This window comes from Homo sapiens, chromosome 16 (genome assembly GCF_000001405.40).
Source record: "Homo sapiens chromosome 16, GRCh38.p14 Primary Assembly".
NCBI lineage: Eukaryota > Metazoa > Chordata > Mammalia > Primates > Hominidae > Homo > Homo sapiens.
In genome coordinates this window covers 5,114,048-5,137,526 of record NC_000016.10, presented here as the reverse complement: position 1 = coordinate 5,137,526, position 23,479 = coordinate 5,114,048, and the positions used below count along the sequence as shown (strand labels likewise).

The 23,479-nt window shown below is 47.1% G+C and overlaps 1 long non-coding RNA gene and 1 pseudogene across 1 annotated transcript, besides 4 other annotated features; one reads left to right on the top strand and one right to left on the bottom strand.

Annotated features, from left to right (window-relative positions):
- Positions 1-23,479, top strand: part of ENPP7P14 (ectonucleotide pyrophosphatase/phosphodiesterase 7 pseudogene 14) — a 37,893-nt pseudogene that overhangs the window by 11,159 nt on the left and 3,255 nt on the right.
- Positions 1,296-2,071: an enhancer, noted in NCBI's record as "OCT4-NANOG-H3K27ac-H3K4me1 hESC enhancer chr16:5185457-5186232 (GRCh37/hg19 assembly coordinates)". NCBI's record gives its function as "activates a minimal SCP1, AML or CMV promoter by ChIP-STARR-seq in naive H9 embryonic stem cells {active_cell/tissue: H9 hESC(naive)}" and the evidence as "EXISTENCE:reporter gene assay evidence [ECO:0000049][PMID:30033119]".
- Positions 2,072-2,846: an enhancer, noted in NCBI's record as "OCT4-NANOG-H3K27ac-H3K4me1 hESC enhancer chr16:5184682-5185456 (GRCh37/hg19 assembly coordinates)". NCBI's record gives its function as "activates a minimal SCP1, AML or CMV promoter by ChIP-STARR-seq in naive and primed H9 embryonic stem cells {active_cell/tissue: H9 hESC(naive and primed)}" and the evidence as "EXISTENCE:reporter gene assay evidence [ECO:0000049][PMID:30033119]".
- Positions 13,270-13,769: an enhancer, noted in NCBI's record as "H3K4me1 hESC enhancer chr16:5173759-5174258 (GRCh37/hg19 assembly coordinates)". NCBI's record gives its function as "activates a minimal SCP1, AML or CMV promoter by ChIP-STARR-seq in primed H9 embryonic stem cells {active_cell/tissue: H9 hESC(primed)}" and the evidence as "EXISTENCE:reporter gene assay evidence [ECO:0000049][PMID:30033119]".
- Positions 13,770-14,271: an enhancer, noted in NCBI's record as "H3K4me1 hESC enhancer chr16:5173257-5173758 (GRCh37/hg19 assembly coordinates)". NCBI's record gives its function as "activates a minimal SCP1, AML or CMV promoter by ChIP-STARR-seq in primed H9 embryonic stem cells {active_cell/tissue: H9 hESC(primed)}" and the evidence as "EXISTENCE:reporter gene assay evidence [ECO:0000049][PMID:30033119]".
- LOC107984828 (uncharacterized) lies at positions 19,399-22,247 on the bottom strand. Its single transcript, XR_001752066.1, has 2 exons — positions 22,124-22,247; positions 19,399-21,003 (listed from the first exon to the last, which is right to left on the bottom strand). It is a non-coding gene; the product is annotated as an uncharacterized LOC107984828 (long non-coding RNA).

The window sequence follows — 23,479 nt, the reverse complement described above, 5'->3', positions numbered from 1 at the left end:
TTACATCTTTCAAATGGATATGGCCCAGGGGTGAAAAGTGGATGCTCCGTAACTAGATGATGGTCAAGAGTTATAAAAATGAGGTCCTATCTGTTCAACATTTCTCTTTTCTTGAAAGGATACTCAATGTCCTGCTCAGGGCCTCTAATGGCCAGAAATAAAGTTCCTCCCAGTTCCAGAGCACCCCAGGGCAACCCCAAAACCAGAGCAACTGCTTATAGCCATGTAGACTATATACTGTGCAATTCCTGGGGTGGCATTTTCATAAATATGTGGGTGGCACCTCCTGGAGGTGTGCAATGCACAACTTGCACAAATGGTAAGTCATCGTATCCCAAAGTCCACCAAGAAGGGGTAAACAAAATTCCCATCGATGTTGCCATCAGTCAAGGGTCTGCCTTTTCTTCATGGGACAGCAGCAAAAACAATTTGGCCAAATGTGTTTGGATGATCTCTAAGATGGAATCAGGGTCTCTCACTTTCAGCACGATTGACATTTGGGGCTGGATCATTATTCTGTCTTAGTGGGAGTTGTCGGGGCATTGTAGGATGTTCAGCAGCATCTCTGACCTCTACCCACTAGATGCCAGGAGCACCACCTCCTCCAGCCGCAACAACCAAAACTGTCTCCAGACATGGCCACATGTTCTCTGGGGGGCAAAAGCACCCCCTGGTTGAGAAGCCCTGAAGTAAAGACATAATATGCAGATCACATGTAAGTAAGAGAGCCTAAGGGCCACACAGGTGATGCTGTACCCATGACAAAGACAGAGTCATAAACAGGTTAGAGAGATGGAGAAAGAGAAAGGAAATGAAGTCGCAGCTGCCGAGAGCAACAGATGCCGACTAGATGTTGTTGACAGTCATCTTTAAACTAAGTTAAAAGATGCTGAGAAGCCATCAGCTCCCATCCTGCTCTCCAGGGACGACACTGCTGAAAAAGGCCTGGAGATCAACAAAGCCCCAAACACAAGCGCACTGAGCAAAGAAACCAGAGATTGAGACGAAAAAGACATTCCCTCAAAGACTACTCATTTCCAAGAGGGGAGAAAAAGTGGAGTCACGAAAAACCGTTCAGGCTGGGTAGAGTGACTCACACCTGTAATCCCAGCACTTTGGGATTACTCCCAGGCTGAGGCGGGAAGATTGCTTGAGCTCAGGAGTTCAAGACCAGCCTGGGCAACACAGCGAGACCTTGCCTCTCCAAAAAGTGAAAAAATTAGCCAGGTGTGGTGATACATGCCTGTGGTCTCAGCTACTCAGGAGGCTCAGGTGGGAGGATCACTTGAGCCCAGGAGGTAGAGGCTGCAGTGAGCTGGGATCGCACCACTGCACTCCAGCCTGGGCTGCAGAGTGAGATCCTGTCTCAAAAAAGAAACAAATTAAAGAAAATTAAGGCCGGGAACGGTGGCTCATGCCTGTAATCCCAGCACTTTGGGAGGGTAAGGTGGGCACATCACGAGATCAGGAGATTGAGACCATTCTGGCTAACACGGTGAAACCCCATCTGTACTAAAAATACAAACAATTAGCCGGACATGGTGGTGGGTGCCTATAGTCCCAGCTACTCTGGAGGCTGAGGCAGAAGAATGGAGTGAACTCGGGAGGTGGAGCTTGCACTGAGCCAAGATCACGCCACTGCACTCCAGCCTGGGCAAAAGAGCAAGACTCCATCTCAAAAAAAAAAAAAAAGAAAATTAAAAATTTTTTTGAGACCAAGTCTCACTCTGTCACCCAGGCTGGAGTGTAATGGTGCGATCTCGGCTCACTGCAACCTCCGCCTCCTGGGTTCAAGCGATTCTCATGCCTCAACCTCATGCCTCAACATGACTACAGGCATGTTGTCACCATGCCTGGCTAATTTTTGCATTTTTAGTAGAGATGGGGTTTCGCCATGTTGTCCAGGATGGTCTTGAACTCCTAGGTTCAAGCAATCTACCCACCTCAGCCTCCCAAAATGCTGAGATTACAGGCATGAGCCACCGTGCCCGACCTCTAACTTTTCATTATGAAAATTTCCCATATGCACAAAAAGCGGGGAGAGAATTGCACCATGAACCCCCACGCACCCATCATCCCACTGCGAAAACTTGTCAACATTTCGCCAATCTCATTCCAGTTCCCGCTTTTCTTTTCCTTCTGGCTATTTTACAATATTTTAAAGCAAATTCCAGACATTTCATTTCACCCACATCCATAACACGCCAGGGTGCATTCCTGATGTAAGGATTTTGTTTTGTTTCATAACCCCCATGCCATTGCCACAGTTAATAGAATGAAACTAAGATTCTTGCAGGTGGAGAAAAGATCTAATTACCACCTTAAAGCCTCTCCTACCAGCGCTTCTCAGATCTGAACGTGTATGCAAATCACCTGGGCATCTTGTTAAAATGCAGATTCTGGCCCAGCAGGTCCTCCCGGGTGAGCCCTGGAAGTCTTCAATTCCAAAAGCTCACAGGTGACGCAATGCTGCGAGTCCATGGATCACACAAGAGAAAGGATTGGGTCGGCCCAGCACCCACAGCAACTGGGTGCAAGGTCCTGACTGCTCCTGACTGCAGGGACTTCAGTGAAAGGGGAAGCTGGGGACCATTTGGGAAAGAAGGGACGTTTCTCATACCAGCTCCAGGCCCTGGAGAACTGCCAGGGAATAACAGACACAAGGTCAGCAAAGTCCAACCAACAGCATGAGTGCATTCATATTCCACAACCACTGCAGCCAAGAACCATGAAATGGGTGGCTTCAAACAATGTCTGGGCCGGGTGCCGTGGCTCACACCTAAATAATCTCAGCACTTTGGGAGGCTGAGGTGGGTGGATCACTTGAGGCCAGGAATTCGAGACCAGTCTGGCCAATATGGCAAAACCTTGTCTTTAGTAAAAATACAAAAATCAGTCATGCATGGTGACAGGCACCTGTAGCCCAGCTACTTGGGAGGCTGAGGCAGAGAATGGCTTGAGCCCGGGAGGTGGAGTTTGCAGTGAACCGAAATCGTGCCACTGCACTCCACACTGGGCAACAGAGAAAGGCTCTATCTTAAAAAAAAAAAAAAAAAGAAAAAAAAAAGCCTGGAGGCCAGAAGTACAAAATCAATCAAGTGTCAGCAGGACCATGCTCCTTAAGAGGTTCTAGGGAAGAATCCATTCCTTGCCTCTTCCAGCTTGTAGAAGCTACTAGAATTCCTTGACTTGTGGCTGCATGATACAATCTCTGCCTCTGTGATCACCTTGCCTCCTCCTCTTCTGTCTGGGTGGGTTTCCTCCTCTAGAGGAAGAGTGTCCTTTTTTTTTTTTTTTTTTTTTTTTTGAGATGGAGTTTCGCTCTTGTTGCCCAGGCTGGAGTGCAATAGCATGATCTCAGCTCACTGCAACCTCCTCCTCCTAGGTTCAAGCAACTCTCCTGCCTCAGCCTCCAGAGTAGCTGGGATTGAAGGCATGTGCCACCATGCCCAGCTAATTTTGTGTTTTTAGTAGAGTTGGGGTTTCTCCATGTTGGTCAGGCCGGTCTCGAACTCCTGACCTCAGGTGATCCACCCTCCTCGGCCTCCCAAAGTACTGGGATTACAGGCATGAGCCACTACACCCAGACAAAAGTGTCCTTTTATAAGGACACTTGTCTTTAGATGTACAGCCTACCTAACATACCCCAGGAGAATCTCATCTCAAGGTCCTTAACTTAATTACATCTGCAAAGACCCTTTTTCCAAATAATGCCACCTCCACAGAGTCTAGGCACAAGGATCTGGATATATCTTGTGCGAAGCCACCATTCAGCTGACTACACTAGAAAGAGGAAAAAAAAACGAACTAACAAAAGGCGCAGAAGAAAGAACAGATGCAGCTTGTGTGGCAGTGGCCATCAAGGCAGGCTGGGGTAAAACTGTGTCAACAGAACCCCCAGATGGAACTCAAGTGGGGCCGTCTCCTCCCAGCTACTCACAGAGAACTTTTCCGTTTCTGACAGCAGAGTAAGAGAAGGGGTGGGAAGAGAGATAGCCCATTTTCTGTTGGCCTAATTCCTAAGGAATCGTGCCTCTGCCTTCGGGCCATTCTCAAGTCTTGTTCAAGGATAAAATGATTTATTGATGGCCGTAATTAAAAAGCAATGCCAACAGAAGCAGCGTCAGCATTTTTCATTTGTACTTACACATGAGCGAGAGCAGTTTAGGGAAACGGCTGCCTTCAGGTTCTATTTTCTCCATCTAGAAAAGGGCTGCCTTCGTGGAATCCTGGTCCTGGGGAGAAGCCTCTTTCTATAGCAGGAATTGATACAGTTTTAAATTCTGATTGGTACACGGAGCTACCCGTCCTCATTTTAAGCACTTCTGGTTTGTTTTGGGTTCAGTGGGTGAGCAATGAGGAAAACTCTGGGGAGGAGGATTTGGGGCTAGCGTGGTTTTGATCCCCAGAGGGAGCTGTTTTTCCATCAATGTCTTGACTGTGATTCAGAATGGGCTTCTCCGCTCAAGATGGGGTACTGGGCTGATTTAAGGCAGGTGATTGAGTTGATTTGGTGGCTACTTTTATACTAGCTGGTTAACGAGCTATTTTCTTCATTAGTTTCAGGCATGTGAGCTTAATGAAGAATTGGACCTCCCAAATTACAAGGAAAGTAAAGATATAACTTATATGGCAGGTTCGAAGGAGTTAGTGAACAAACACAGTAGGGCCACAAATTATTGTTAAAGACATGAATGCATGAAAGTGTATCTGTGTCCAAATGGACTCTCTGCAACCATACTGTTCCACCTGAAAATTAGTAGATAGAAATTCAGCAAATGCTTGGACAGGGGATACTCTCAGAAGTATTCTGACTAAATAGCATGGTTTCTTTTCATATCACTAAAGTAATTTCTTCCCAAATTGACTCTGGACTAAATCTTATGATACCTACTTGTTCTGATTGTACTTAGCCACCTGCAGATAAGGTGGGGGCAGTGGTAAGAGGAGCTGTTGAGTGAAATTAAACATTTGTTGAATGCCTACTGAGGATAAACCCTGTGCTTCATGCCAGGGAGATTCCAGAATAAATGAGGCACAGACCTACTCTCAGGAAGCTTTTGCAAACTAATGGAGAAAACACATCTGCAGGCAATGACTTATGGTATAAGAGGAAATGGGGCCAGATGTGGTGACTCACACCTGTAATCCCAGCACTTTGGGAGGCCGAGGTAGGTGGATCAATTGAGGTCAGGAGTTCAAGACCAGCCTGGCCAACATGGTGAAACCCTGTCTCTACTAAAAATACAAAAAAAAAAAAAAATAGCCAGGCTTGATGGTGTGCACGTGCAATCCCAGCTACTTGGGAGGCTGAGGCACAAGAATCACTTAAACCCTGGAGGTGGAGACTGTAGTGAGCCGAGATCCCACCACTGCACTCCAGCCTAGGAGACAGAGCGAGACTCTGTCAAAAAAAACAAAGGAAATAAGATTGGTGTTGAATGGGAAATCTAAGCAGGATGGAATGGCAGGAGAGCGCCCACTTGCCCAGCTCCAATAACAATTTTGACAGCCATGACAATATTGCAGGGATGCCCATTCCTCATGGTATCTGAAGCCCCATGAAGGCATGCATCTGGAGGCTGCTTCAGTCTTGACTTTAAGATCAGGGGATACAAGGAATGATTTTCATCTATCCCAAGCCAATAGTCCAGCCAAAAATCTAGGTCTGAGATGATGAGAAAAAGCAAGTCATGAACCATGTCAGCCATTTCATCATCATCATCATCATCATCATCATCATCAAAAACAAAAGACAGACCTGTAACCATCTTGTGTGCCTGGCTCTCGTGTTAGTTCAAAATATAGAAGCAAATTCTATGGCCAGCGAACAATGACCAAAATAGCTCTCATTACCCTTGTCTGCCACCATGTAAGACGTGCCTTTTGCCTTCCACCATGATTTTGAGGCTTCTTCAGCCACATGGAACTATGAGCCCATTAAACCTCTTTTTCTTTATAATTTACCCAGTTTTGAGTAATAAAATAAACAGTGGTTTGTCCACATCATCAATGAACAATGCTGTCACTTGTTCCAAGTGCATATCATTTAAGAGGTTTGGATAAACAACAACCTAAAATAAATAAGCACTAAGCAAACTCAGGGCTACATAATCCCTGTGGTGAGGTAACTGACAATGGGTACAACGGGGATAGTTTACTGTTAAATCACCTCTATCTACATGTGCCCAAGCAGTGAGACACTTGGTTTTAACCCTAAAAAATCATGGTGCACATTTACTCCTGCCTTCCAACTGGGCTGTAATGTCACCTCCTTAGAGAAGCCCTCTTTTCTGTGCTTCCGCTCTGCTTTTTTTCAGCATTTAGTAGAGCATCAGTCACCATCTGTACCTGGGAACAATGATTGTAAGAAACAGAAACCCATTTGCATGAGCTGGAGGGAAAGGAGCACACCTTATCTCTAACAGGCAAACTCATGGGCATGGGAAACAAATGAGAGGCCATGAGAGAATGGAAACTGCAGTTACAGAAACCAAAATTCCTCTTTCTGACTCTCAGAAGCCCATGGTCTTATTTATTTATTTTTTTATTTTTTTATTTTATTTTTTTTTTTTTGAGACACAGTCTCGCTCTTTCACCCAGGCTGGAGTGCAGTGGTGCAATGATCTCGGCTCACTGCAAGCTCCACCTCCCAGGGTTCATGCCATCCTCCCACCTCAGCCTCCCAAGTAGCTGGGACTATAGGCACCCACCACCACGCCTGGCTAATTTTTTGTATTTTTAGTAGACATGGGGGTTTCACTGTGTGAGCCAGGATGGTCTCGATCTCCTGACTTCGTGATCTGCCCATCTTGGCCTCCCAAAGTGCTGGGATTACAGGCGTGAGCCACCGTGCCCAGCTGCCCCTGGTCTTTCTTAACAGCCCTGTGGACTTTCTTATCTCTGCTTCTCTCACTCACAACCAATTTTCCCTTTTTGCTGGTGGCCCATCATGGCAGCCAGCAGAGCCCACCACCAGCTGATCTGTTAGTAACTGGATGTCTTGGTAGAAGGAGAGGGAGAGAGAGAAAGAAAGAGAGAGACAGGGAGGGAGGGAGAGAGGGAAAGAGAGAGGGGGAGAGAGAGAGAGAGAATTGGGCTTCTGGCCAACCAATTGAGTACAGGGAGGGGGAGAACCATGGCACAAATATGGCGCCAAGACCTGCTTTCCAGCATGGCCAGTGAGTCGGGAAATTGAGGGAAGGTACCTGCAATCACAGCAGACATCTCAGAACACGCTCTCTGTTCTTAGTTCTCTCTCCTGCCTTCTAGATTGTAAATATCACAAGACAATTGAGGATAGTACCTGGCTCAAAATATTTGAGAAAGAGAAAAAGGAAGGGATTGCATCAAACTCTGGACTTCATGGTTTCCTAAATTCACTCTGCAAGTTTTTGGGTTTTTTGTTTGTTTTTGAGACAGAGTCTCACTCTGCTGCCCAGGCTGGAGGGCAATGGCATAATCTTGGCTCACTGCAACTTCCACCACCCAGGTTCAAGCGACTCCCCTGCCTCAGCCTCCTGAGTAGCTGGGATTACAGGCACACACCGCCAAACCAGTTAATTTTTGTATTTTTAGTAGAGATGGGGTTTCACCATATTGGCCAGGCTGGTCTCGAACTCCTGACCTCATGATTCACCCACCTCGGCCTCCCCAAGTGCTGGGATTACAGGCGTGAGCCACCATGCCTGGCCGACTCTGCAAGTATTTAAGAAATGAATGAACATCGGTTCCTGAGAATCAAAAGAAAGGCATTGAATCTCCATTAGGTTTAATCACGGTCAGCAGCTGTGGGGCGTCATGGGTTTGGGATCAGTGGGATGAGGAACAAGCAGGTTCTCCAAACCACCACGCAGGGAGGGGAGGTGTTAACTAGGCCAAAGACAACGGGCGGGATACGTGCCTGGGTTTCAAACAGCTTATGCCAGGCCTAAAAACCAACGCTGAGGCAGTAACTGTGTTAAGCAAATTGATGACACAATGGAGGGGGTCAAAAAGTTTGATATTGCTAAGAAGAATACAAATATTGATCATGCAATATGTTATGGTTATCACACCACCTCCTGCTACACGCCAGGTTTCCTTTACCATGAGATACAAGAGATTTGTGGATCTGACCTAACCCTCCAAATTGTAAGGTCCCTGAGAGTGGGCTCATGACATTCATGTTTTATAAATGTGGCATAAAGCCTCACGCTGGCTGCCATGTGGCCCGATCCCAGTTCGATGCTGCACTCAAAAAACCATCATTCCAGCATCCAAACATACTTAAAGGCAATTGAAATGTTTACCGCCGTCCCTCAAGACAAACACCAAAGAAAAATTATTTTCAAAATGCATAGCAACACTTCTTAAAATCTTATTTTCCCATCTCTTTCTCTCTCTCTACCACATACCCAGGAGTTTCCCAGGAGCAAAACTGTCATAAAGACCCAGGAGCAAAATGATTAATGACTTCACTATAACCGATTCTGATTTAGTTGGTTTAGAGTGGTGTCCGGGCATACGTATTTTTTAAAATCTTGCTGGGCACAGTGGCACACACCTGTAGTCTCAGCTACTCGGGAGGTTGAGGCAGAAGAATCACTTGAGCCCAGGAGTTTGAGTCCAGCCTGGGCAACATAGCAAGACCCTGTCTCTGAAAAAAAAAAAAAAAAAGCAAAAACAAATCTCTCTCAGCTGCAGTCAGGGTTGATAACTAGTTGATCAAATAATTGTGGTAGCCAACCTTCGCAATGGACCTTAATGTTCCCACCTCCTGGTATTATTCATTATGGAATCTGTCTTAGCTAGTCCTCAGTTGGGTCTGGTATCCAGGCCCTGCCTTGAGAGGCTAGTCCCACCTCCTCCCCCACATATGGTTTTACACTTACTTTCAAGACTGATCTAAAAACATAAAATGTCCTTGTTTTGACCTTGTTTCCAATGAAACAACTACTCTAAACACTCATTTAGAATGGTTGGGGAAATTTGAACCCTGGCTAAATATTAGAAGATATTTGCTTCAAAATAACCCAGCTTGGTAATGAGATAATGGTGGCTGAGGCTGGTGATAGGCACAGAGGGGTTCATTATCAAATAGAAACAAGTGGAAAAAACAGAATCTTTTCCATAATAAAGATGTAAGGTAAACACAAAAATGTATTGAGTGCATAAAAAGAATCTATGGTCTCACAGGCATTAGCTCCCACTGGCCATGTTAGGGATAATTTGAACATCAAAAATAAAAGTAACAGCCAGGTGCAGCTGCTGATGCCTGTAATCCCAGCACTTTGGGAGACTGAGGTGGGTGGATCACTTGAGCCCAGGAGTTTGAGACCAGCCTGAGCAACACAGTGAGACCCCATCTCTAAAATAAATAAATATAAATAAAAGTGACTGGAATTCACTGTAGAACATCAACTCTATTTGAGTCTATAAAGATTACTGGCGGAGGGGGGCGATGGGGAGGAGGAGAAAGAGAATATATTTGTGACCTGGATTATTTTCCTTAGTTTTGATAGAATCTTTGGGTCTCCTGGGTCTTCTAGCCCAGTATTTATTTTTATTTTTTATTTATTTATTTATTTATTTTTAGATGGAGTCTCACTCTGTCACCAGACTGGAGTGCAGCAGTGCGATCTCGGTCCACTGCAACTTCCGCCTCCCGGGTTAAAGTGATTGTCCTGTCTCAGCCCCCCGAGTAGCTGGGACTACAGGTACCTGCCACTGCACCTGGCTAATTTTTGTATCTTTTGTAGAGATGGTGTTTCACCATGTTGGGCCAGGCTGGTCTCGAGCTCCTGACCTCAAGTGATCCACCCACCGTGGCATCCCAAAATACAAGGATTACAGGTGTGAGCCACCACACCCTGCCTATTTTCCTTAGTTTTCAGAGAACCTTTGTGTCCCCTGGGTGTTCTAGCCCAGTATATCTCAAACTTTGCTGCACTGAGGACCTTGTTGAAATGCAGGTTCTCATCTGGCAGGCTCAGTCGGCCAGCAAATGTGCATTGCTTTAGGAAGCTCACCCTGAGTAGCAAGTTTCAGTGAGGACCAGGCAGCCCTGCCTGCCCTCTCAGCTGGGCTTAACCCTGGCTCTCGCCCGCCAGAGTTCCTCCCCTCAAAATAGGAGCTATTTTCAAAACGCCTCTTGGAAAAAAGGCCCTGTTTTAAAATTGGGGTGTTTAGGATTGGCCATCTGCTCACCATGGGGTTTTAAGACCTTTGCCCAAACCCCCGCAACCAACTTAGAACTGACATTTTCACTCTTGAAGGGCCCACTCCACACCATGTTAAATTCATTAAAATCAACCCCCATGACAGGCATCTCTCAGGCATCACGCCCTCAGAACGGAGTTGCAGCTGACCACTTGACAATGTTGCAAAGCATTAAACATGCATTCATTTCAGCCTTGCAGTTTTCACATTTAGGAGCCAATTGTCTTAGGTCTAAAGCATTCATGTCCAAGCATTGTTATGGGCCCCAGACACTATGCTTCCCAGCCCTCATGGCCTCTGCAGTGCTGGTTCCTACTGCCCCACCCCTGCGTTCTGGCCGGCCAGCCCACACCACCTCACTGCTCCCCCATTCAACTGTGCCTTAGGTGTGTGGTTTCCAAACTCATCTACATTTTAGGGTCACCTGGGATTTTTTTTAAATCTTCCAAAACCCAGACCACACCCCAGAACAATTAAACCTCAACCTCTGGAATGGGACATAGCATCTGGTTTTTGTTTTTTGTTTTTGAGACAGAGCCTTGCTCTGTTACCCAGGCTGGAGGGCACTGGCACAATCATAGCTCACTACAGCCTCCAACTCCTGGGCTCAAGCAACCCTCCCACTTCAACCTCCAGGGTAGCTGGGATCAGAGGCAGGCACCACTATGCCTGGCTAATTTTTTATTTTTTTATAGAGACAGTATCTCCCTATGTTCTCCAGGCTGGTCTCAAACTCCTGGGCTCAAGTGATCCTCCCGCCTCAGCCTCCCAAATTGCTGGGATCACAGGCGTGAGCCACCACACCTGGCCATCAGCATCTGTATTTTTTGAAGCACAGACGAGTTTGGGAACTACTGCCCTAGACTGAGCTCGGTTTCCTAGCCCTGTCTGACGGTAGGATTCTGCCGGGCTGCTTCTGAAAACAGAGCTCCCCAGGCTCCTTCCCAGGTAATTCTGATTCATTAGGTCTGGGGTGGGCCCTGGAATGTGTATTTTTTACCAGGTCCGTCTGGGTGAATCAGGCTAAAGCCAGTTTGGGATCTGAGACCTTGGAGCTCATTCCCCAGCTTCCCTCCTAACCCAGTTCCCAGCTTGGCCCACCTCACCCAGGCTGTGTCACGTCTGACTTCACAGATTACACCTGAGAGGGAAGCCCCAGCCATCATGATGTGAGAACATTTTACAGTGACGAGGAAATGCCAAATACATTTTAAAACTCATTCAGGATTAGCGTTCACCTTAAACTTGACAGACTCTGAGAACGGGCTGGCCACAGGTTGTGCTGTGCACAACCCTTAGTGCTCATCCGCGACTAATATTTGGATAATTGATTGTTGGAAGCTCAGGAAGCCTCTCTCTCTCTCTCCGAGGGATTGAAGTTAACTTCCTTATTTCTGAGGTAGGGAAGAAAATGAGGATGCCCTGCCTTTTGCTAGACTGAATACTGTCCTCCAAAAATTCACATTCACCAGAAATCCCAGAATGTGACCTTATTAGAAAATAGGGGTGGGGCATGGTGGCTTATGCCTGTAATCTTAGCACTTTGGGAGGCTGAGGCAGGAGGATCACTCGAGGTCGGGAGTTCGAGACCAGCCTGGCTAGCATGGCAAAACCCTGTCTCTACTAAAAACACAAAAATTAGGCATGGTGGTGTGCACCTGTAATCCCAGCTACTTCGGAGGCTGAGGCTGAAGAATCACTTGAACCCAGAAGGCAGAGTTGCAGTGAGCTGAGACTGTGCCACTGAACTCCAGCCTGGGCAACAGAGCAAGACTCCATCTCAAAAAAAAGAAAAGAAAATAGGGTCACTGCAGATCTAATTACAAAGAGGTCATATTGGAATAGCATGGACCTTAAATGGAGTAATAATGGCATCCTCATGGGAAGAGAAGAAGAGACAGAGACACGCAGGGGAGAAGGCCACATGAGAATGAAGGAAGAGAATGGAATGATGTGGCCACAAGCCAAGGATTGCCAGCAACCACCAGAAGCCAGAAGAGGCAAGGAAGGATTCATCCCTAGAGCCTTCAGAGGGAGCACGGCCCTGCCCGTTTCAGACATCAAGCTTCTGGAACTGGAGAGAATGACTTTCTGTTGTCCTGAGCCACCCATTTGGGGAACTTTGTTAGAACAGTCACAGCCAGCTCATGTGCTCCTGAATGCATCTCAGGCATTAATAAGCACTGTCTTGGCCAGGCAGGGTGGCTCACCCCTATAATCCCAGCACTTTGGGAGGCCGAGGTGGGTAGATCACCTGAGGTCAGGAGTTCAAGATCAGCCTGGCCAACATGGAGAAACCCCATCTCTACTAAAAAGACAAAAATTAGCTGGGCGTGGTGTTGCGTGCCTGTAATCCCACCTACTTGGGAGGCTGAGGCAAGAGAATCATTTGAACCCTGGATGCAGAGGTTGCAGTGAGCCGAGATTGCGCCATTGCACTCCAGCCTGGGCAACGAGAGCGAAACTTCATCTCAAAAAAAATAATAACTACTGTCTTGACTGTGGTCATCAAAAATATTTGATTAAGGGTTAGCTAGAAAGCCTGACCCTTTCACAGATGGACAGAAGGGCCAAAAGAAAATAGATTGTTTGAACTGGGGCAAGAAGGATAAGAATCCTATGGAAAAAAAAAAAAGAGGGATTGGTTTAGTGAGTGCTGGGGAGAGGCATTTGTTTTCTTGCTTAAAAAAGAAACACAGGTTGGGTGCGGTGGCTCAAGCCTTAATCCGAGCACTCTGGGAGGCCAAGGTGGGTGGATCACCTAAGGTCAGGAGTTCGAGACCAGCCTGGCCAACACTGTGAAACCCCCATCTCTACTAAGAAGACAAAAAAAAAAAAGAAAGAAAGAAATTATCCAGGCATGGTGGTGGGCGCCTGCAATCCCAGCTACTCGGGAGGCTGAGGCAGAGAATCACTTAAACCGGGGAGGTGGAGGTTGCAGTGAGCCAAGATGGCGTCATTGCACTCCAGCCTAGGCAACAAGAGTGAAACTCTGTCTCAAACAAAAAAAAAGAAAGAAAAAAACCATAGTTTTAAGTCCACTCAGTGGAGTGTCAAAATACATTCCCATTGTGCAGTGCTTTTGGAATCTTTTCTGAACTTCTGTTGCACATGATCTAATTTGATCTTCATAGCAACTCCCTGAGATGGATAGGGCAGGCCTTTCTGAACACCTGTTTTCTAGTTTGCATTAAAAGAACGGAATTGGCTGGGACCAGTGGCTCATGCCTATAATCCCAGCACTTTGTGATACAGAAGGGAAGTGCTTGGAAGGGAAGAATGTGGTCCCTTTAAATGATATGGAAGTGAGGAAGGGAAGTACTGGGTAGAGGAGGGTGTGGTCGCTGGCTAGTGCTCCACCCCAGGGCCTTTGCCCACGGACCTAGGTGAGGACAGGCATTTTTGTTTTCCTGCCCAAATGTTGCATTTCCCAAGACCACCCTGGCTGCCACACCCCCATTCTGCGCCTATAAAAACCCTGAGACCGTAGCAGGCAGACACACAGGCGGCTGGACTTCAAGAGGAGCACATCAGCGGAGGAACACATGTGCGCTGCACGTCAAGAGGAACGCACCAATGGGCACCGGCACACCGCAGGCCACTGACTGGCAGAACAACCCAGAGTTTGGCTGGGACAGTCAGAGAAGAGTCGGGCCACTCGCCCGACTCCAGGGGAAAACCATCTTCCTTCTGGCTCCCCCATCTGCTGAGAGCTACTTCCACTCAATAAAACCTTGCACTCTCATGCTTGTAATCCCAGCACTTTGGGAGGCCGAGGCGGGCGGATCACGAGGTCAGAAGATCGAGACCATCCTGGCTAACACGGTGAAACCCCATCTCTACTAAAAATACAAAAAAATTAGCTGGGCGTGGTGGCGGGTGCCTGTAGTCCCAGCCACTCGGGAGGCTGAGACAGGAGAATGGCGTGAACCTGAGAGGCGGAGCTTGCAGTGAGCTGAGATTGCACTACTTCCGGTACACCAAGGCAAGAACTCCGGGACAAAGAGAGCCTCTGTCCTTGCAATAAGGCGGGGGTCTAATTGAGCTTACTAACACAAGCTACCTACGGATGGTTAAACTAAAAGAGCACCCTGTAACACACGCCCACTGGGGCTTCAACTATAAACATTCACCCCTAGACACTGCCATGGGGCTCCCTGCCTGTCTGTGTGCTCCCCTAGAGGTTTGAGCAGTGGGGCACTGATGAAGTGAACCACACCCCCATCGCATTCCCTTCGAGGGGGACAAGGGAACTTTTCCCATTTTATCTGAGACGCCAAGGCAGGAGGATCACTTGAGCCCACGAGTTTGAGACCAGCCTGTGCAACATAGCAATACCCCATCTCTACAAAAACAAATAAGTAAACAAAAATAAATAAATAAACATTAAAAATTAGCCAGGTGTGGTGGCACACACCTGTAGTCCCAGCTACTCAGGAGGCTGATGTGGAAGGATTGCTTGAGCCCAGGAGGTTGAGGCTGCAGTGAGCCAAGATTGAACCACTGCACTCCAGCCTGGGCGACAGAGTGACACCCTGTTTCAACAACAACAAAAAGAATGGAACAAAATAACTTCTCAAATAGCTAGCAGAGGCAGATCTGGTACTCAAATGCAGGTTTTCCAGGTTTCAATTCTTGTTTCTAGCTGTATTATGGAGAAACATGATCACTAATATATGAAGGAGAGGAGGTTTCAAGTTCTGATGAAAAGATGGTAAAGAGAGGAGTTAGTTGATTACGAGTGACTAGGAATGGGAAGAAAACGCATGACACTACTTAGAGGAAAGAAGAAAAATAAGCATAGAGGTGACAGAGCGCACAGAAAGGACTTGGAAGAAGCGTGTTTGGCCCTGTCTCTGCATTTCTTCCCTTGCATTAGTAACTTCCCTGATGACTTGGATGAATCTTCTCTTCCAGGGCATCCAGTGTTCCCTTTCTGTCCACTTCTCCTTTCCCAGGGCCCATACAGTCTGGGAAAGCATGTTCTGCAGGCTTCTCATATCTTTCCTTCCTTAATCAGCCCCTAGCATCTCTATGTAACCCATATACACCTGGAGTTCCACATGTCCCAGTCTTTGCACTGCAGCGAATTCAAAGAAAGGTGCACTCTAGCTGGGCACAGGGACTCACACCTGTAATCCCAGCACTTTAGGAGGCCGAGGCAGACAGATCACTTGAGCCCAGGAGTTCAAGACCAGGCCTGGCCAACATGGTGAAACCCCATCTCTACTAAAAACACAAAAATTAGCTGGGCTTGATGGTACATGCTCAGTAGTCCCAGCTATTTGGGAGGCTGAGGCAGAAGAATTGCTGGAACCCAGGAGCAGAGGTTGCAGTAAGCTGAGATCACGCCACCACTCTCCAGCAGCCTACGCAACAGAGCAAGGCCCAGTCTCAAAAAAACACAAAGACAAAACTAAACCAAAAAAAAAAAAAAAAACCACACACACACACAAACAAAGGTAGACTCCAATAAGAAAAATTCAGTCAAAAGCAATTCAAATAATTACTCAGTCAACCCAGTTCTATCTCAGTTCTTTATTATATATATAAACTTACTCTGTCTAGATTCCCTAGTTTTGTTTTTCTTTTTTGTTTTCTTTTTTTTTTTTTTTTTTTTTGAGACGGAGTCTCGCTGTCGCCCAGGCTGGAGTGCAGTGGCGCAATCTCGGCTCACTGCAGGCTCTGCCCCCTGGGGTTCACGCCATTCTCCTGCCTCAGCCTCCCGAGTAGCTGGGACTACAGGCGCCCGCCACCTCGCCCGGCTAATTTTTTGTATTTTTTAGTAGAGACGGGGTTTCACCGTGTTAGCCAGGATGGTCTCGATCTCCTGACCTCGTGATCCACCCGCCTCGGCCTCCCAAAGTGCTGGGATTACAGGCGTGAGCCACCGCGCCCGGCCTTTTGTTTTCTTTTGAGACAGGGCCTCACTCTGTCACCCAGGCTGGAGTATAGTGGCATGATCATGGCTCACTGCAGCCTCAACCTCTGGGATGAAGTAGTTGTCCCACGTCAGCCTCCCAAGTAACTGGGACTACGGGTGCACGCCACCATGCTCAGCAACTTTTTGTATTTTTTGTAGAAACGGGGTCTCACTATGTCGGCCAGGCTGGTCTTGAACTCCCGGACTCAAGAAGTCCACCTGCCTCAGCTTCCCAAAGTGCCAAGATCACAAGCATGAGCCACTGCACCTGGCTGATTCCTTAGTTTTCTTTTTCTCTTTGCCCATTGCCTGGATTCCATAAGCAGAAGGAAAACCCGGGGGCTGACTTTGTAGGCAAGACTCTTTCCTCTTCAAAATGTAATTGGTTCAACTGGTACCAAAACTGAAACATGTTTATAACTTAACATCTTTTCTTCCTACCCCTTCAATCTCTTGAGCAATGAGAAAAGGCACTGGGCTCTTTCTTTGTGACACATAGTCTGTGCCCTCAAAGAACCCTGACACCCCGGCAACATCCATTCAAAGAGCTTATCCGTACCTCCCCTCCTTTATCCCCAAGGTTACTGGGTCAGAGCTCACGGAGTCATTCACAACATGATGTTTAACACTGAGACGCTCTGGAAGTGCTCCTTCAAGACTCAGAAGAAGACCCAGTGCTGAGACAGTCGTGTTCTCTCTCTCTCTGGATCACCGCCCAGAGACAAGGACTGCCGGAGACCCTGGCTTCCCCGGCTGCTGCCTCTCATTCCTGCGCCGGTGGGATGAGAGTTCGAAGCTGTGCGACCTTGACCAAGTTACTTACCCTCTCTAAGCATTTGTTTCCCTAAATGTGAAATAGGGATGATGGTGGTGTTTTTTATATATTTCACAGATTTGATAGAAGGATTAAGTGAGAGATGCATCAAAAGCAGTGGGCACAGGGTCAATGCTCAGTGAGCTTTCACTTTTCTTATCAATAGACAGGTCTCCATGAGGACAGAGACTGGCTTCATCTTGACTGCAGCCTCAGGGCTGGCCACAGTGTCCGCACCCAGCAGGACTTCAGTAAATATCTGTTTATACACTAACCACAGACTTAGGCATAAAAGCCCTTTGGAAGAAAGTTGACCATTTCATGCACCTTCAGACTATGAAGAGCAGTGACGACAACTTTAGCTTGAGAGGCTCTCAGTGCCCATTCATCACCACTGTGAAAAGGCAGAAACCAGAGCTGTGTGTTTAACTCCCAGCCCCAAAACCTGTTGGCTTTGCTTTATCACTATGAGCTTCCAATGGCTTCCCTTTAGAATGGGGCCTCTCTCTTCTTCCCCAAGGCACCAGCCTTTGCCCCAGACCTCTCCTTATTACCTGGTTCCTCCTCTCTGTACTCTGAGCCCATGCTGTGCTCGTCAGATAGCACATGGCAGAATACAGCAGCCCAGAATGCAGGCTGCAGAGTTAGATCCCCAGAACAGGATCTCAGCCGGCTCCATCCTTCCTCAGCTGGGTGACCGTGGCCAATGACTTGCTCTCTGTGCCTGAGTTGCTCCATCTGTGAAATGAAGATTGTCACAGTCCCTGCTTCAAAGAGTCACTGGGAGGATTAACTGAGAAAGTGCAGGGAAAGTGCTTGGAAGTAAATGCTCAAAAAAAGTCCATCTGGCCAGGTGCGGTGTCTCATGCCTGTAATCCCAGCACTTCAGGAGACCAAGGCAGGCGGATCACTTGAGGTCAGGAATTCAAGACCAGCCTGGTCAACATGGCAAAACCCCAACTGTACTAAAAATACAAAACTTAGCCAGGCATGGTGGCAGGCACCTGTAATTCCAGCTACTTGGGAGGCTGAGGCATGAGAATCGCTTGAACCTGGGAAGCGGAGGTTGCAGTGAGCCGAGATGGTGCCACTGCACTCCAGCCTGGGCAACAAGAGTGAAACTCTGTCTCAAAAAAAAAAAAAAAAAAAAAAAGTCCATCATTCTTACTAATGGAGGCCAAATCATCTCAGCGCTTCTTTGGCTGATCAGAATGCTCAAAGCCAGGGTTATCCAATAGACCAGAGGTCCCCAGCCCCCAGACCATGGACCAGTAGTGGTCTGTGGCCTGTTAGGAACTGGGCTGCACAGAAGGAGGTGAGCAGCAGGCTAGCGAGTGAAGCTTCATCTGTATTTACAGCTGATCCCCCTGGCTAGTGTTACCACCTAAGCTCTGTCTCCTGTCAGAGCAGCAGTGGCATTAGATTCTAATAGGAGCACCAACCCTATTGTGAACTGCATGTGGAAGGGATCTAGGTTGTGTGCTCCTTATGAGAATCTAATGCCTGATGATCTGTCACTGTCTCCCACCACCCTGAGATGGGATTATCTAGTTGCAGGAAAACAAGCTCAGGGCTCCCACTGATTCTACATTATGGTGAGTTGTATAATGATTTCATTATATATTATAATTTTCATAACAATAGAAATAAAGTACACAATAAATGTAATGTACCTGAATCATCCCGAAACTTCCCCCCAACAAATCCATGGAAACTGGTCCTTGGTGCTAAAAAAAAAAATGGGGACCACTGCAATAGACTATTCAGTCACGGTCCAATCAAACATTCTGCAATGGCGGACTTGCTCTACTCTGCACTGTCCAACAGGGGAGCTGCTAGCCACCCACATGGGCTGTTGAGCCCTTGAAATGTGGCTGGTGAGAATGAAGAGCTGAATTTTCAATTTTCTCTTATTTTAACTAATTTTTTTTTTTTTGAGACAGAGTCTCACTCTATCCCCCAGGCTGGAGTGCAGTGGCACAATCTCGTCTCACTGCAACCTCCATCTCCCAGATTCAAGCAATTCTCCTGCCTCAGCCTCCTGAGTACCTGGGATTACAAGAACCCGCCATCATGCCTGGCTAATTTTTGTATTTTTGTAGAGACGGGATTTCACCATGTTGGCCAGGCTGATCTTGAACTGCTGACCTCAGGTGTTCTGCCCACCTTAGCCTCCCAAAGTGCTGGGATTACAGGCATGAGCCACCACACCCAGCCTTAATTCATTTCTAAATCACAAAATCTAAACAACAAGTGGCTAGGAGCTACCATAGTGTACAAGGCAGCTGTAGAATCACAGGAAATTGTCAATGACCCTGTCCTGCTTCAAGTGGACTTTTCCCCCTCATGGTGACACTCTAGATTCTTTCCTCTTCTCTCACATTTTTTAGATTTTCAGGCTTAGACCATGAAAATAAGTTCTGTCCTTCCAAGAAAATAACGTTCATAACACTTACTGTATACCAGGCTGATTTCAGTGCTTTACATGTATTAATTTACAACAACTCTGAGGCGGGAGCTGTGATTATGCCCATTTAACAGATGAGAAAACTGAGGCAGAAAGCGGTGCTGGAACTTCTCAAAGTCACACAGGTTGCAGGAGGCAGAACCCGGATTTGAACTCACTTTGGGTTCAGCAACTCACAGCTCTCACCTATGACATAATATTACTTCTGTGGTCAAAACACTTAGACCTGGATTTCACAGGAATCTTGTGCTTGTCTGGCTGCTAGGGAGGTTTTCATCATCTTCCTTATCTCACAGTTCAAAACCCAGGGCCTCCATGCTCTTGCTCTGGTGGCCGTTCACTGGCAGGAGGCTTCTGGGAAGGTTCTCCTTTTCTGTCATTTTTCTTATTCGTGGTTTTTTGTCTCATTGGTGTTTATCTGCAAAACTTTGTTTCCTTCTGCTCAATTCATAATCAGAGTGCTTTTCCTCCTGGCTGAACTCATAAGTGTTTATGCAAAAAGAGGTTGGGCACAGAGCCAGGCGACTGACGACACCCGGCTCGTCTGGCAAGTGGATATCAAATTGTTGTATCTTGTTCTGCCATTCGTGGCTCCTGCGGTGGGGCTGGGCCATCTGCCAGCTCTCCAAAGAGCTGGTGGGAAACCGCTGCAATCAGAGCGAACCCACGGCCCGGGTGAGCCCGCCTCGGCACAGCACTCCAGCTGGCCCCCAGTACCTTTGGGGACACATCTGCATTGCCACCAGGGCTGTGGGAGGGCCGCCTGCCTCCTGTCCGTCACAGGGAAAACCTACCCTTGTCCCGCCTCCCTTCCAGGCAGCCTGTGTGGGGATTGCTGCATTCACCTTTAATATGGCTAAAATTTTTCCTTCAATGACAGTAATGCTGCCAGAACCCATCAAGATACCCAGGAACTGATGTGCCTTGGCAGATGATGCTGGAAAGATGGGATTCCCGGCAGCCTTTCCATCCCTTGCTCACAACCCACGAGCATCTCCACCGTCCAGCAGGGCTTCTCTCACGTTCAGGGCAGAAACAGAGAGAGTCCATCTGGAACAGGCTCGGATTTTAAATGACTGTCCCCGATAATTCAACACGATCGATGACTGAGGTATTTCACCAAGTTCAGGAGTCTCAGTTCTCAGAGAGAGGCAGCCAGCCATGACTGCCAGACCTGGGCAAACCATACAAACCAGACGGCAGGTCTCACCCCTCCCCAGAGAGCTCCAGAGAGTATCAAAGAGTGAAACAGCAGAGGGATGGTCTGGGTGGGGTCATCGTGGCTGGCAAGGGTCTGTGACAGCACCTTGTTAGGCTACTCCCAAGAGGAAATTTGGAGAGAGGGTGGGAGGGCAGCTCTCAGTGCAAGCTAAGTCTCCTGGAAAATAACTTTCAAACTTTGGAGGATTGTGAGCAAGATGGGACCAGCAACTTCTTCCTAAAAGAATGTTAATAGCAAGATAACTCATCCAATTATTGGTCCAAGCTAGGTCTTTATTATGCATCGTAAAGGCTCTGAGAATAAAAATGTAACCTCCAAAAGGGCTGCAGGCTTTGAAGAATCTCAGGCAACTCGCTTCCTTCTGCTCAGTGACTCCCCTGGAGCACAGCAAAGCAAGGAAACACTTAGAGCCAAGCTTGAGTTCTGAATTTCAAATACAGGGAGTACATCTCTTTCTACCCAATTGTTCCCTAGGTGAGTAACTAACTCCTTCCCCTTAACTGCACGTACTTCCTACCAAAGCACAAGCACGATGGGCTGTCCATGAGCCTCCCCCAAACACGTGCGCCTTGTGACATAAATTCTGTCACCCAAAGAGACCAGACAAAATGTAAAACCAAAGTGGAGCCTTTCCTTGAATTATAGGTTCTAAAGAGTTTTGGACTCTCTACAAAACCCAAGAGTTAGGAATTGCCTGTAAGAAGCACCAGCCCTTGTTTTAAAGAGGCAATTTAAGAATAATAACCATGCTGATGCCACACTACGCTAAGGGAGAATAATGAACCTAATAAAACTAGCGATTTTCCAATTGCTTTTGCTGCTGGAAACACTGATTATGCTAATTAAAGGGTAGAATAGTAAATACCCACTCTTTTGCATCCAATTAAGTGTTCAGATTATTTCTCAGAAGTGTTTGTTGAAAATAGCACTTCTGATAATCATGGGTCCCAAATAAACAGAGTCAAGTGTGGTGTGGTACATGTGTGAGTGTGTGTGTGCGCGCGCACACATGTGTCTTTCTGGAGCTCATTTTATGGAGATCCCGCATAGCTCCCCAAATTCCTATGAGACCAAATAAGAAAAATCACAGTTTCCTAAGACTACAGCTTGGGATATCTTTGGAAAAGGTGTGTATTGAGAACACAGCATACGGAAACTATTTCACGTTGGCAATATCTGTGATTTAACATTGCAAACATCAGAAATACAACTGTTTCTTCAGAGCCACCTAAGTCCCTCATAATGGCAATATTAGCTTTTTCTCAATAATAAATTAGCCAGTCAAACTATGTTCTACAGCATATTAGAAGTTTCATCCTTCTAGTCAATGTCACATTTCAAGGCAAAGACGATTTATATGTAAGTTAACAAAAGTGCTGTCACTAAAAATTGAGAATTATGTCTAATGCCAATCAGAAATGGAATAAATAAGTATTAGAGGATTTGCAAGTGAAAGCAACCATAGAAATGCTATCATCAGGAAGGAAAATGTATTACCTGCAGATGTTACAGATAAGATGCTAGAACCCAGAAGAGAAAGAATCTCTGTAAATATTTCCATCAAGTTAATCAAGAGTGGCTGGGTACGGTGGCTCATGCCTGTAATCCCAGGACTTTGGGAGGCCAAAGCAGGAAGATCACGAGGTCAGCAGTTCGAGACCAGCCTGGCCAACATGGTGAAACCCTGTCTCTATGAAAAATACAAAAAATTAGCCAGGCGTGGTGGCGTGCACCTGTAATCCCAGCTACCGGGGAGGCTGAGGCAGGAGAATTGCTTTAATCCAGAAGGCAGAGGTTGCAGCAAGCCGAGATCGCACCATTGCACTCCAGCCTGGGTGACAGATCACGGCTCCATTTTGAAAAAAGAAAGAAAGTTAATCAGGAATCACCCACAAAAGGAGATGAGATTCACGCATTCTTTCAACATGCATTCCATCAATAGTGAGCACCTGCTCTGAGCTAGGCCCGTTCTAGGTCCCAGGAAATGGGCAACCAACCAGACATGGCCCCTGATTTGGAGCTCACATTTTAGAGCAGCTAAATGGACAGTAAACAAGTAAGCAAATTAAGATCATCTTAAATTGGGGGAAGTTCTTTAGAGAAGCACTTCCACAAAGCTGAATCGCATCCTAGACTATGACTGCCAGGTGGTAGGGAAGGTAATATCTCACCTGCCTGTGGACAGCAGAGCTTCTGAGGCCTTGCAAAGTATTTACCACGAAGATATCTGTCTTAGGTCAAGTTCCCTAAAAACAGAGCCTGAGGCAGGGATTGAGTGCATGTAATTCATTCAGGAAGAACTCTCAGGAGATAGGAGTAAGGAAAACAGGATATGGCAGGGAAGGAGCTAAGTGAGATGTGGTCTGAGCTGGAGACTGGCTCCAGTCTGATCTCACAGGGAGCTCCAGAGGATGAACTGCACCACCATGTTATCCCAGCCTAAGGTCTTTTGTTCTCCTGTGTCAGCCGGTCCCTGGCCAAGGGCTGCAGACTCTCTCGGGGCCCCAGCAGACTGGAGGAGAAGGAGCATGGTCTGCGGTCTACTGTTTCGTGTACACCCACCCACCTCTTCCCCAGCTGACACTGCTGGAGGAGGAGAGGGAAGAGATGTCATCTCCTCCTATGGCAACCTGTGGGATAGCAATGGCCCTTTTCCTGTTGGGTGTAATCTGCTGCCATCTCTTGCTGTCTGCAGCCTGACACAGAAGGGTGAACGTCACCAGGTTCCACTGACGGCGGTCTTTGTCTCAAACAGCAACCCTAGGACCGCGGCTCCCTTGCAAGATTCAGCCACATCTCATGACTGTCTGCAACACACCCCATGCCTCTGATGGAAGGAACCCAATGCCCCAT